This window comes from Homo sapiens, chromosome 12, assembly GCF_000001405.40.
Source record: "Homo sapiens chromosome 12, GRCh38.p14 Primary Assembly".
Classification (NCBI taxonomy): domain Eukaryota; kingdom Metazoa; phylum Chordata; class Mammalia; order Primates; family Hominidae; genus Homo; species Homo sapiens.
The window spans coordinates 76,883,125-76,897,537 of NC_000012.12; positions in this window are offsets into that span (position 1 = coordinate 76,883,125).

Genomic DNA, 14,413 nt, shown 5'->3' on the forward strand with positions numbered 1-14,413 from the left:
AATTTCAGGCTCTATTGCTTTCTTTCCTTTCAAATGACAAAAATTCTGCTCACCCCGTATTTTTAAAAGCTGACATAAATATCCCTGAGTCGTGTAGTAGGTATTTGTGATTGCCTCTGTAGCATCCATTCCTCTCTGTGTGGTTTCAGGCATGTGAGTTCATGGTCCTGTTTCAGGGTGGAGCACTGGATCCAGTCAAGGCATTTGAGGCCCCGGCTTGGGGATGGTAAGCACGTGACCTAAGCCCATCCAATTAGAGTGAATCTCAGAACTCTGCTGGGGTGCGGAGTCAGAGCCAAGCTAGCCTATTCTGGAATGTGCTATGTGCATGGAGGAGGCCTTAGAGTGGTTGCAGTCATTTTTGCTAGGAACCTGGCCACGGATGACTTGACACAGACAAGAGGACAGAGAAAACAGAGCTCTGAACAAGTATTCACCAAGTTTACCTACCTGCAGGGCTTTTTCATTATGGGAGCCAATGAGTCCCCATTGCTGTTTAATCCATTTTGAGATGGATTTTCTGTTACTTGCAGTTAGGACTCCCAACAGATTGTGATGGCTTAAAATCATGTCCATGGATTCTTTGTTACTCCCCCCTTCAACAGGTAGAATTTAATTCATGCCCTTACCCTTGGGTGCGGGCTAGATTTAGTGCCTTGCTTCTAGAAAATAGAATGAAGTGCATGATTTTGAGACTAAGTCAAAAAACGCTTTGTGACAACTTTTTCCTCATTCTTCCCCCACCCTTTTCTTTTATCCATCCTCCCCCATCTCCAACATCCTGCCAACATGTGTGTGTGTGTGTGTGTGTGTTTCATCACTGCTATGGGGAAAGCCAGCTGCCATGTCAGGAGGACACTCAAGCAGTTAAGAACAGTGGCCTGTGGCCAACAGTCCCAGAGGAGCTAAAGCCTTCTGCCAACAAAAATATGAGTGAGCTTGGAAGGAGATATTACAGTACAGTACTGTCAAGCTTTGAAATGACTCCAGCCCTGGCTGACACTTTGACTGCAACCTCGTTAGAGATACTGAGACTCTCACTGTGGTCATTGGAGAGTTCCTAATTGCCAAACCCCCAACTGCTATTTTTCAGTCCTTACCCTACTTGACCTCTTAGTAATTGGACAACATTGAGTAAACATATGATTGTGTATACATGCACAGAATGAAATATTTTAGAAGGATGACACTTCTGAAATTTCTCACAAATGTTAACTTCTGTCTCTAGCTACTGTTCTGATGAGAAATGGAAAGAAATTTTGAAAGCTACCACCACTAGAAAGCTTAGTTTCTCCCCTAAAAAACTGTAATGTGAGCAACAGAGGATGCGTTAAACAATGTTTTTTATTATCTCACTTGTGATAAGATATACCATTTTATAAATATATATATATGTGTTTACTTTCTAACTTTTACATAGATTCCAAAATCCTTGCTAAAGATTACATAAAAATAAATGTAGGCTGGGCACAGTGGCTCACGCCTGTAATCCTGGCACTTTGGGAGGCCGAGGCAGGTGGATCACATAAGGTCAGGAGTTTGAGAGCAGCCTGGCCAACATGGTGAAACCCCATCTCTATTAAAAATACAAAAATTAGCCGGGCCTGGTGGTGCGCACCTGTAGTCCCAGCTATTCAAAAGGCTGAGGCAGGAGAATTGCTTGAATCTGAGAGGCAGAGGTTGTGCTGAGCCGAGATCCTGCCACTGCACTCCAGCCTAGGCAACAGAGCAAGACTCTGTCTCAAAATAAATAAATAAACGAATGAATGAATGAATGAATGTATACTCATCCATCCATTTATTCAGGAATTAAAAATTAAGTGTATATTTTATCTTAAATGTAGTTAATGACGTTTCCGTATATATATCTTGATCATTGAGCATCTCCAGAGAAAACCTCATAAAAATTTCCACTTAAAACAGTGTGCGTGTGTGTGTCTGTGTATTTCTCTGGGAAATGATGTCAAGAACGAAATTCTGGAAACAATACATAATGCTATAATTGATTGGCAGTTAATCATTTATGGCATATGCCTGCCAGGATTTTTGTGTAATCCTCACATACGGGATTAAAAATCATTCATAAAATAAAACTTTTCTTGTAAAAGAAAATACAAACTGTCACGTCTGTAGCTCTCACCTCATGAGAACAGTGTTAAGCTATGGGAAAAAGGTTAATGCCTTTAAAAAAAAAAAGCTTGTATAAATCCTGTATTTACATGTTTTTAAGGAGTGCTGGCTTAGATTTTACTTTAAACAGTTTTTACTTCTGCTGTTTCAAAAAGATTGTGGGAACCTAATTCCCATACCTAATTCTTAAATGATGTTATACGTTTAAAGACTCAAGCTATTACTTTGGGAGGCTGAGGCGGGCGGGTCACATGAGGCCAAAAGTTCTAGACCAGCCTGGCCAGCATGGCAAAACCTTGTCTCCACTAAAAACACAAAAATTAGCCAGGTGTGGTGGTGCACGCCCGTAGTCCCAGCTACATAGTCCCAGCTACTCAGGAGGCTGATGCATGAGAATTGTTTGAACCTGGAAGGCAGAGGTTGCAGTGAGCCAAGATTAAGCTGCTGCATTCCAGCCTGGGCAATGGAGTGAGACTCTGTCTCAAAAAACAAACAAACAAACAAACAAAGACTCAAGCTGCTGATTTATTTGTTCCTGTGTTCACTTCAATTGTAAGAGTTCAGAGTGCTACTGCAGAACCAAACTCCACTGACCTGTTAGTGGCTGGGTATGAGCTCAAATACCGTGTGTGTGGTGTGTGTGTGTATGTGTGCACACATATATAAGTACACACACGTACATATATGTGTATGTACAAACATACACACACACAGACTTGCAAAATGATCTGTATCCTCTGTGAAGGGTATTGGGTTATCGTGGAGTGATCATCCATCCAAATTCAGCTGAAAAACTATAAATGAGAAAGGGTCAAAGTACACGCCATTGGCTGTTCTTCAAGCCAACATGTGTTTCAACCAAATAGCAATGACTATTGACTGAATGTTCCTTGCATGTTAAACATGTAGGAATATTGTTTTCTTGTCCTTGTAAGGTGATTATCTTTCTTTCCATTTGACATGTGAGGGAAGTGAAACTCATGGAAATTGAATAACTTGTCCAAGGCCACATAGCTAGTAAGTGGCAGAACTGGGATTCAAATCCAGTCTGGATCCAAACCTCACACTCTTTCCACTGCAGAACGTGGCCTTTTAGCAATGATCCTTTCCTGTTATACTAGAAGAGTGAAGAAAGTACCTTTGCTTAAAGACACTAAAAGACTGATAGCTCCTTGGGAGCAAGTCTTTCAGCAAACCGAACATAAATCTTTCCAATCTGAGGAGACCTCCCCAGCATAGCTGACTAAGATGAAGTCTAAGACAAGTAAGAGTACCATGCAGAATCCGAGCTGGTCTTGAACCAGGGGAGGAGGGCTGGGGTTGGGGCCTCTGCTGAGAGAAGGTAGGGGTGTGGCATGAGGTGGATGCCAAGAAGACACAAACACATTTAAAGGGCATCACATTTTGATGATCCTCTTGGGGCTAAAGCCTGCCAGATGATGGATGAGCATGTTACATTATGCTAACACAAAAATACCAAACTCTAACTTAGAGAACAGCCAGGCTGCCATTTTGTCCCACCTCCTTTTTGGGACATAACGTTGGTATAAATTCCTTATACAGAGTGGGAATGGGGAGATGTACATGTGGTCTTGCCTCGGATGAGTCATTTAACTTCTTTAAGCTTAATTTTCCTAAGTCTGGCTGATCACTCAGGTCCCATTCAGCTCTAGGATTCTATGATTCCACTAGTAGCAATTGTATGTCACATATTTTTTGACAAGGAAAGTGGTCACATGTATCCATCAGGGTTCTTAGTGGAAGATAACAGAAAGTACAAGAAGAGCAAGGAGAAAAATGGTGCTATAGAGTCAGGATCAGTGCCTGACGCCAGAGTGGCACAGCTGATGCCTATACTTGCCTCTTAACATCTACTATGCTAGGGCCTGAGAGTAGACCTTCTACTTCAGCTACTAGATCCGCCATCCTTGACCATGCCAGCCCCTTGTGCTGCTTATTTGCCTTCCAAATCTGGCTCAGGATATCTTCCATTAGGGCTTGGTGGAAATTATGTTATGTGTGGAACTCAAGCTGCAAGAGAGTCTTAGAAATGTTTACCTGTCTAGCCTCTGGAGTACAGGAAGCCTTGTTCAAAGAGTCAGTGGGTGTTAAGTGACCCTGTGTGTAGTGTCTGCAACATCATGTTACATTGCTGTGCAAACAGGGAGGGATCAGGTCAGGCGCGGTGGCTCACACCTGTAATCCCAGCACTTTGGGAGGCCGAGGTGGGCAGATCACCTGAGGTCAGGAGTTTGAGACCAGCCTGGCCAACATGGTGAAACCCCATCTCTACTAAAAACACAAAAATAACCCGGGCATGATGGCACACACCTGCAATCCCAGCTGCCTGGGAGGCTGAGGCTGGAGAATCGCTTGAACCCAGGAGGCGGAGGTTGCAGTGAGCTGAGATCGTGCCACTGTACTGCAGCCTAGGCGACAGAGCGAGACTCAGTATCAAAAAAGGATCATATGTATACCATGAGCCTATTTTTCTATCTGTAAAAATATACTCTATAAAAAAGTCTGAAAAGTGTACACTAAAATTTTAGGAGTGCTTTGATCCTCCTAAATTGTTGTGTTTTTATCTTCTTTTTGGTTCTCTGTATTGACCAATGTTTCTGCCATGAATGAGTATTACTTGTATAATTTCTTAAGAGTGATGCTTATTATTTATTGGCCTATGATTTTACCTGACATAAAGGTGGTATCCCTGCCCTTTTGTGTCTTGAAGATGTCTGTCTTCAAAGTACAGGCCACAGAATTAGACCTTGAAAATAACTTTAAAGGGCAAGTAAACCATATTCCAATTCAGATCACGTTATCAAACTTCTAGACATTTGAATCAGTTTCTTCATGGAGACTCAGACAATACAATAATGTCAGGAGATTATCTGGAGAAGTCTTTTTTTCTCCTTGGAGTCTTTTCACCCTCTCATCTCATGTCTCTCATTGCTCATATTAAAACAATGATAATTTTCTTATGAAGTCCACAGCGGCATTAGCCAGTTTTATTAATAAGCAAAGATAAATTTGAATTACAGATTATTTGCATGAAGATCACACAATGTCATACACAGGAATAGTGAAACAGAATGAAAGATAAAGCTGGAAAAGGAGGTGAGAACTAGACCCTAGCGGTCTTTGAATACCATGTTGAGGGATACCGAATCACTTAAAATCTCCTCCGCTCAAATTCCCTCAATGGGTGCTGATGTTTTTCAAATAGAAAATGCTAAAATATATTCAACCTATTCTTCACCTTGAAGTCTCTTTTTGAACTTGGATCAGTAGTGTATGAGATTTTGAAATCAATATATAATAATGATTCATAAAACTTGGCTTAAATCATTCGATTTATTTAATGCCACATAGAATGCTGTGAACTATTTCGGTGTTGGATTTCTATACTGTCTTTCTTCTAAAAATTCTCAGTTTGATTAAACCTAGTTTTTTCAAGCACCTGCTATGTGCAACGTACATTGTTAGGCTTTGAGGAATACAGCAATCAAAGGTTTCTGCTCTCAAACAGTTTGCAGTTTAGTTAGGAGAGCCAAGACATTCACAAAACCCTGCAATACAGAGGATAATGTGGGACATAATATGGGAACAAAGGAGCTCAGATGGGGAGATGATCTTTATACTAGGATGCAAGAGCAGGCAGTTTGGTTTGGGAGGTTAGGGAGGCAGGGGGATGGGAAGAGTAAGAGAAGGCCAATAGGGGGTGTGTTGTCAGGCCAGTTGCCACTGTGGCTGCCTGGAGCTTAATCCCCTGAGGAACATGGGAAATAATATGGAGACAAACTTAGAGTTATTCTACCCAAGGAGCAAAGCGGCTGAGGTCTTTATTTACCAACTTCCATCAGGGGCTTTTCTGGAGGGAATTACTTGTCAGTGCTTTTGGTCTGTCAAGCAAGTGAGCAGAGGGGTCTCTCCCAGGTGTGGAGGAAGCCCTCAGTCAAAGACAAAGTAGTAAAGGTAAAGTTGGAGGCATAAGAGTGGGACTTACCGCCTGTAATCCCAGCACTTTGGGAGGCCGAGGCGGGCGGCTCACGGGGTCAGGAGATCGAGACCATCCTGGCTAACACGGTGAAACCCCGTCTCTACTAAAAATACAAAAAATTAGCCGGGCGTGGTAGCGGGTGCCTGTAGTCCCAGCTACTCGGGAGGCTGAGGCAGGAGAATGGCGTGAACCCGGGAGGCGGAGCTTGCAGTGAGCCGAGATCGCGCCACTGCACTCCAGCCTGGGCGACAGAGCGAGACTCCGTCTCAAAAAAAAAAAAAAAAAAAAAAAAGAGTGGGACTTACCAGCATATGCTACAGAAAGAGGTTGATTCTAAGGGCAGAGGGATGTGGAAGTCTTGATACTTCAGGGAGGATGTGGTACTTCAACTGAGCCTTAAGGAGATATGGCATCAACAGATATTGGCAGGAAAAAGCCATTCCAAATACAGGGAGCAAAGACCCAGAGAAGCCAAGTTCAGAATATTGTCCATAACTGATATAGTTGGTATAGCGCTATCTTGTCTGTTTCTCCCACTTAATATTACTTAATTCTATTTTCATTGCTGCCTAGTATTTCATGGTGTTAATGACTCTTAGCCATTCCACTATATTTAAACATGCGGGTTGTTTTCAAATTCATTATTAAAAATGTTCATTTAATCAATAGATATGTATTCCACAAATATAAAGGTGAGCAAGATAGATTAAATACCTGCCCTTATGGAGTTGGCATTTTAGGTGGGAACATTATTGAAACCTATTCATGGCAGATCAGTCAGGCTGCAGTAGTTCACAGTGGTTCACCCTTGGGAGAGCAGGCAGGTGAATCAGGGAGCTGGCTGTGAGCTCCTCGCAGGCAGGGAACTGGCTTCTTTACACTGAAAACCTCTTTAACTATCACACCACCTGGCATATATTAGATTCTGGGTAAAATTTGCTAATTATGGAAGAAAAATCCCTAAGCAGGGTGTGAAAGGGTTAATAAGGAGAACTCAAGTTTAGAGTCTTGTAAGAGAATCATTGTGAATCACAGCACTTTTTTCCTCTGTAATTTTCTGTGTGTCCTAAGACATAAAATTTATGTCTCAGACATTTTCTTTTGTGAAGTCTTTAGCTCGGGAGGAAATGTTTCCTGTGGCTAAGGACACATTTTCCTCGCTTGTTAACATCATAGTATGTAAAGAAAGCTCTTCTTTAAATTCTAGAAGCAAACTATACCACATGCACGTTTTTACCACCTGTGTCTTCAGAGAAACACCTGCCCAGGCTTCTGGCTTTCTCTTGAATTATGTATCAGTCAGCAGTTGCATATATAATGTTTTATCTTGCTAAATTTTATCTCTTACTAAAACAGTTCATGAATCACTTCTTATGGTTTTCATATAGGCTACAGGATGACTGTATTCACATTTAGATCCAATTCTCTGACAAATCTAGGAGACTATCTTTAAAATTTACCCCCAAACATCTATTTTCTTGCTAAGACTTACTTTTTAAGATCTCTCCCCCACCTCCTCCTCTTTTTTTTCTTCTTATTCTAGTGTATTTCCCTCTCCAGAACCAACAGCTAACATTTTTTTCAGGTTTATTTTCAGGAATTAAATAAATTTATGTTACTATAAAAACTCCCTCATGATGAACAGCAAACGAGGATGCCACGTTGGAGTGTGTGTTGTGGGCGGTGGGCGGGGCTCATTCTTCATCAGAGGAGTGACTCACTCCCCAGGTGTGCCCCTTTGCTCCTGCAGAATCACAAATTACTATAGCAATGGAGCAACTTCTCATAAATAGCTAACATTGAAAATAGTAAACTTACGAATGCTAAAGGTCTGCATTAGTCTTTCCCAAACTGGCTTCAGAGGAGCATTAGAGTTCCTCAAGTTGATAATACGTATTTTGCAAAATAAAAGGTTCTGTTGTAAAATAAGTTCAAGAAACACTTCAAATTGTATCTTTCTCTTGGAAAGTTCATAAAACACACCAACATTACAGCTTCCGAATCCTACTGAACTATACAAACCCTTCGCAAACCACCTAGTATTACTAACAATACATAGAGTACTAATGTTCTACAGAATATCATTTAGGAAAGAATATTTTTTTTTTTTTTGAAACAGGGTCTTGCTTTTTCGCCTAGGCTGAAGTGCAGCTGCATGATTACAGCTCACTGCAGCCTCAACTTCCCGGGCTCAGGTGATTCTCCTCCTCAGCCTCCTGAGTAGCTTGGTACCACAGGTGGTTAAATTTTGTAGCAACGAGGTTTCGCCATGTTGCCTAGGCTGGTCTCAAACTCCTGGGCTCAAGGGATCTTCCGGCCTTGGCCTCCCAAAGTGCCGGGATTACAGGCATGAGCCACTGCACCCAGCCATTTGGGAAAGATTGATCTACATGATTTCTGTGGAGCTGATTTCCTGTATTAACCGGATAAGAGGATATGAACAGCTTTTTAGTTCTTGTTCTATGTGTCTGCCAATGGATTCAAACAACAATATGTAAGTACTTAGGACTGTGTTTCTATGACTAACAGGTTTCCTCTTGACTATGAATGTGGCTCACGCTATATGATTGATTAATAGATGAACATCATATGAGATATTGTTAGTTGACTAGTTTAACATAGTGGTTCTGAAAGTGTGGTCCTGTACCAGAAGCTTCTGAATCACCTGAGAACTTGTTGGAAATTCAAATTATCAGCCCGGGCAACATAGTAAGACCCTGTCTATAGAAATAAAAAAAATCAGCCATACATGTTGGCAAGTGGCTGTTGTCTCAGCTACTCTGGAGGGTGAGGTGGGAAGATTGCTTGAGCTCCTGAGTCTGAGGCTGCAGTAAGCTCTGATTATGCCACTACACTCGAGCCTGAGTGACAGAGACCAACCCCATCTCAAAAAATTGCAAATTCAGGCCCCACACGCATTAATTAGAAACTCTAGGGAGTTACGTTTTAGCAAGCCTGCTGGTTAATTCTAATACATGCTAAAGTTTGAGAACGCCAGTTTAACACAGCCTAAGACATCTGCTTTCTGCTTAGAAGGGATAACAGGGACCAGATTTACCCTCCTACCTGAAATGACTGAAAAGCTAGACAGAATATACAAAACAGTGGTTCTCAGATATTGAACATGAGGCAGCACAGGACAGTCATCCCTGAGAAACAGTAAATAAGTGATTACTGTGAGTCGGCCAACTTACTACCTGGGGAGAGTTTCCAGGGTGATGTCAGGGAGAGGAAAGCCAGGAAGATCCTGGCCGTCTCTTTGAGTTAAGGAGATGGATTAGGAGTCCAGGGAGACCAAGGTGGCTAGAATCTGCAGGGCAGAGTGCCAGACAAGAGAGAGCTACAGAGAAAGAAAAATCCAGAGAGCTGCAGAGGGTCCCCTCAGGTTTTTTATTGAGTACTAATCAGGGCATGACTTTTAGGAAACTAGCTGAGGCTAGAGAAAGACCCACCCAACCACCCAAATGGATCAGAGGAAATAATCTCTACAGCCTACAGAGGGCTGGGGATAGTTTTAGTTCCCACCAGCCAGAGAGGATAAACCTTCTAGTTCACAGAACAAAGGTAGAGAACTCATCAGGTAGAATACTCAGAGGGTATTATTGCCTCGGTAGAGGAGCAAAGTTAAGGGCTTCCCCGATCCTGAATAATAAAGCTTAAAATTTTGAAAGGCTCAAACTATCTCTAAATAACATAATTGCATCCCAGAACAAAGCTCAAGAATATTGATAGAAAAATTCATAATGACTGGTATCTAATAAAAATGTACCTGGCATACAAAGAAACAGGAAAATACAATCCACAATGAGGGGCAAAATTGATAAATAGATCCAGAAATGATACAGTTAATAGAATAAGTAAACAAGGACATTAAAACAGTTATAGCTATATTCCATAGAAGTTCATATGATAAAGTAGAGAAATCCTTGTGTATGTTAAGCAGATACATGGGATATATATTTTTAAAAGACCCAAATTGAACTTCTAGAGATAAAAATACAAGGTCTGAGATGAAAAATGCAATCTATTAAGATATACAAAATAAAATACTAACTTAAAGACATAGCAACACAAACTATCTGAAATGAAACACAGAGGAAAAAAAATGGAAAAAAATGAATAGAGAATTAGTGAGCTGTGGCATAATTTTTTTTTTTTTTTTTGAGATGGAGTTTTGCTCTTGTTCCCAGGCTGGAGTACAATGGCGCGACCTCGGATCACCGCGACCTCGGATCACCGCAACCTCCGCCTCCTGGGTTCAAGCCATTCTCCTGCCTCAGCCTCCCGAGTAGCTGGGACTACAGGCACATGCCACCATACCCAGCTAATTTTTGTATTTTTAGTAGAGATGAGGTTTCACCATGTTGGCCAGGCTGGTCTCAAACTCCTGACCTCATGTGATCTGCCCACCTCGGCCTCCCAAAGTACTGGGATTACAGGCTTGTCTCAAACTCCTGACCTCAGGTGATCTGCCCACCTCGGCCTTCCAAAGTGCTGGGATTACAGGCTTGAGCCATTACACCCAGCAGCTGTGGGATAATTTTAAGTGACCTAATACATACACTTAAAGTCCCTAAAAACGGAGGGCAGAAATGATATTTGAAGAAATAATAACCGAAAAAGTTCCAAATTGCGTGAAAACTATAAATCTACAAATCCAAGAAATTCAACAGACCCCAAGAACAAGAAACATAAAAACTACACCAAGAAACAGCATAATCATACTGCTTAACCATTTTCCCATTTAGAAAAAGTGCAGCTCGCTGCCAGCGCTCATTTAATTTTACGTAAACACGCTCTTGAAGGCTGAAGAAAATCTCACTGATTTTCAATGTGAAAATAAAATATGAAAACCGTTCATGAAGCTATTTCTAAACAGAACTAATGTCAGAATCATCCAAATCATCAGAACTGTCTATTTCAGAAAAATCGGATTCATCAAATGAATCTTTGACCAATGACCGTTCAAGAACAACATTAACATCACACGAAGGAATGCTGCATTTTCTAGGATTTGACATTTTCAGTGATTGAGAATTACCATATTTTGTAAATGGGAGTATCAGTACTAAAAACAGAATGCTATAAATAGAATGATGTCTTTTGTTTCCAAAGTTGATATACTAGAGTGATGCAAAAATAATAATAAAAGCGAGATTTTCATGGCAAAACTATCTTGGGTAAACGCTGCAGCTGCAAGCGCTGCCAGTGAGTATTCTCAGCACAAACAGGAAAAGGTTAAAGCCAGTGATAATGAGAAAATCTGAAAAGCAGCCAGAGGGAAAATGCCACAGAGGAAAAAACCCAAAATGGTAAGATTGACAGCAGAATTCTTGTGGGGAACAATGCAAGCCATCAGACAGTGGAGCAATGTCTTTAAAGTGCTGAAAGAAAAAAAATTTGTCAACTTAGAATTCAAAAACCAGGCTAGGCATGGTGGCTCATGTCTGTAATCCCAGCACTTTGGGAGGCCGAGGCGGGTGAATCATGAGGTCAGGAGATCGAGACCAGCCTGGCCAACATGGTAAAACCCCGTCTCTGCTAAAAATACAAAAATTAGCCGGGCATGGTGGCGTGTGCCTGTAGTCCCAGCTACTCGGGAGGCTGAGGCAGGAGAATCACTGGAACCTGGGAGGCAGAGGTTGCAGTGAGTGAAGATCGTGCCACTTCACTCCACCCTTGGGCAAGAGAGCAAGACTCTGTCTCAAAGAAGAAAAGAATTCAAAAACCAGTAAAAATATCTGTCAGTAATGAAGATAAAATAAAGTTTCTCTCAGACATATGAAAGCTGAAAAAAATCATCACAGCCGACTTGAACCAAAAGAAATGTTATAAAGAAATCCTTCAGGCAAAAGCAAAATGATACTAAAAAGGAATCTGTATCTGCAAAAGGAGCAAGGAGGAGGCAGAGTAAGATAGCTGAATAAGCTCACCAGTGATCATCCCCCCGCAGGAACACCATTGTGAACAACTATCCACACAAGAAAACACCTTCATAGGACCCAAAACATTCAAAGCATGCTATCTAGTGCCTTGAGTGAGTGATCACACTACCTGGTTTGAACATAATATCAAAGAAAGAGGTATTGGCTGGGTGCAGTGGCTCACACCTGTAATCCCAGCACTTTAGGAGGCTGAGGTGGGTGGATCACCTGAGGTCAGGAGTTCAAGGCCAGCCTGGCCAACATGGTGGAATCCCATCTCTACTAAAAACACAAAAATTAGCTGGACGTGGCAGTGCATGCCTGTAATCCCAGCTACTTGGGAGGCTGAGGCAGGAGAATTGCTTGAACCCAGGAGACAGAAGCTGCATGCAGTGAGCCAACTGCATTCCAGCCTGGTAACAGAGTGAGACTCTGTCTCAAAAAAAAAAAATAAAATAAAATAAATAAAAAAAGAGGCACTGAAGAGGGTGGGAAGGCCAGCCTTGCACTACCTGCATTACTCATCCCCCAACTCTAGGCAGTGCAGCATGGAGAGAGAATCTGTGTGCTAAGAGAGGGAGAGCAAAGAGAGTGTGGAACTTGGCGTTGGAACTCAGTGCTGCCCTATCATAACAGAACATAGCACAGGGCAGAATCCTTTCAGTGCCCACAGAGGGAGCATTTAGACCAGCCCTGGGCCAGTGGAGAATTCCTTGTCCCAGTAGGAGGAACTGAAGTCTCAGCTGCCTTTACCGCTGGCTAACAAAAGAGGCCTGGGACCCAGAGTACATGTGAGTGGCAGTCAGGCCACAAGGACTGCCGTCTTAGGGCAAGCCCTGGTACTGCACTGGTCTGGGAGGCAGGGGACTTGGCGTACAATCCTGTGCAACACTAGCTGTGGTAACTAAGGGAGTGTCTGTGTCGCCCCTTTCCCAATTCCAGGCAGCGCAGCTCTGGGAGAGACTCCTATCACTTGGGGGAAGGAGAGATGAGAGCACAGAGAACTGTGTCTTGCAACTTGGGTACCAACTCAGCCACAGTAAAATAAAGAATCAACCAGATTTCTAAAGCCCTGGATTCTGGGTCTTTGCTTCTGGCCAGTGTTTCTAGACCCACCCTGGGCCAGAAGGGAATCCACTGCCCTGATGGGATGGACCCAGTCCTGGCAGAATTCACCACCTGCTGACTAAAGTGGTCCTGGGCATTGAATAAACATCAGTGGCAGTCAGGCAGTAGTGGCTGCAGGCCTTGGGTGAGCCCCACTGCTGTGCTAGTCCACAATGCTTCAAGTGTGACCCTGCACAGTGCTAGCTATGGTGGCCATGGGAGTGTCCATGTTACTCCTCTCCCAACTCCAGGCAGCTCAGCATGGAGAGAGACTCCTGACTGGAAAAAGAGAGGGAGGAGAGCAAGAAACTGCCTGGTAACTTGGAGAATTTTCCTTTATCTCACCCAAATCCACCAAGGCAGTGTATCTAGGAGTCTGCAAGAATCGCACACAGCCTTCCTGGGCTTAAGGTACTCCTAGTGTTGAAACAGCTGCAGTGACTGCAGGCTTAGGTCACAACACTCAATCCCCTTTGAATTTCTGGAAAGCCCTCTCAAGGAGAATGAGTACAAGGAAGCCCAGACTATGAAGTTTGAAATAAATATCTAACTCTTTAATGCTGAAACATCAACCAACATCTACAAGCACCAAGAATATCCATGAAAATATGACCTCACCAAACACAGCAAACAAGGCACAAATGAGCAATCCTGGAGTGAGGGAGATACGTGACCTTTCAGGCAGAGAATTCAAAATAGCTGTCACAGCTGGGCATGGTGGCTCACACCTATAATCTCAGCACTTTGGGAGGCCAAGGTGGGGAGGTCACTAAGGTCAGGAGTTGAAGCCCAGCCTGGCCAACCTGGCAAAACCCTTTCTCTACTAAAAATACAAAAATTAGCCAGGCGTGGTGGTGCATGCCTGTAATTCCAGTCACTCGGGAGGCTGAGGCAGGAGAATCACTTGAACTCAGGAGGTGGCGATTGCAATGAGCTGAGATCATGCCACTGCACTCCAGAGTGGGTGATAAGAGTGAATGAAACTGTCCAAAAAAAAAAAAAAAAAAAAGCTAGCTTGCGCTAGCTCAGTGAACTTCAAGATAACACAGAGAAGGAATTCGGAATTCAATCAGAGAAATTTAACAGAGACTGAAATAATAAGGCAAAGTCGAGCAGAAATTCTGAAGCTAAAAAATTCAATTGACAAACTGAAAATGTACCAGTCTCTCAATAGTAGAATTGATCAAGCAGAAGCAAGAATTAGTGAGATGAAAAACAGGCTATATGAAAATACATGAGGAGAAAACAGAAT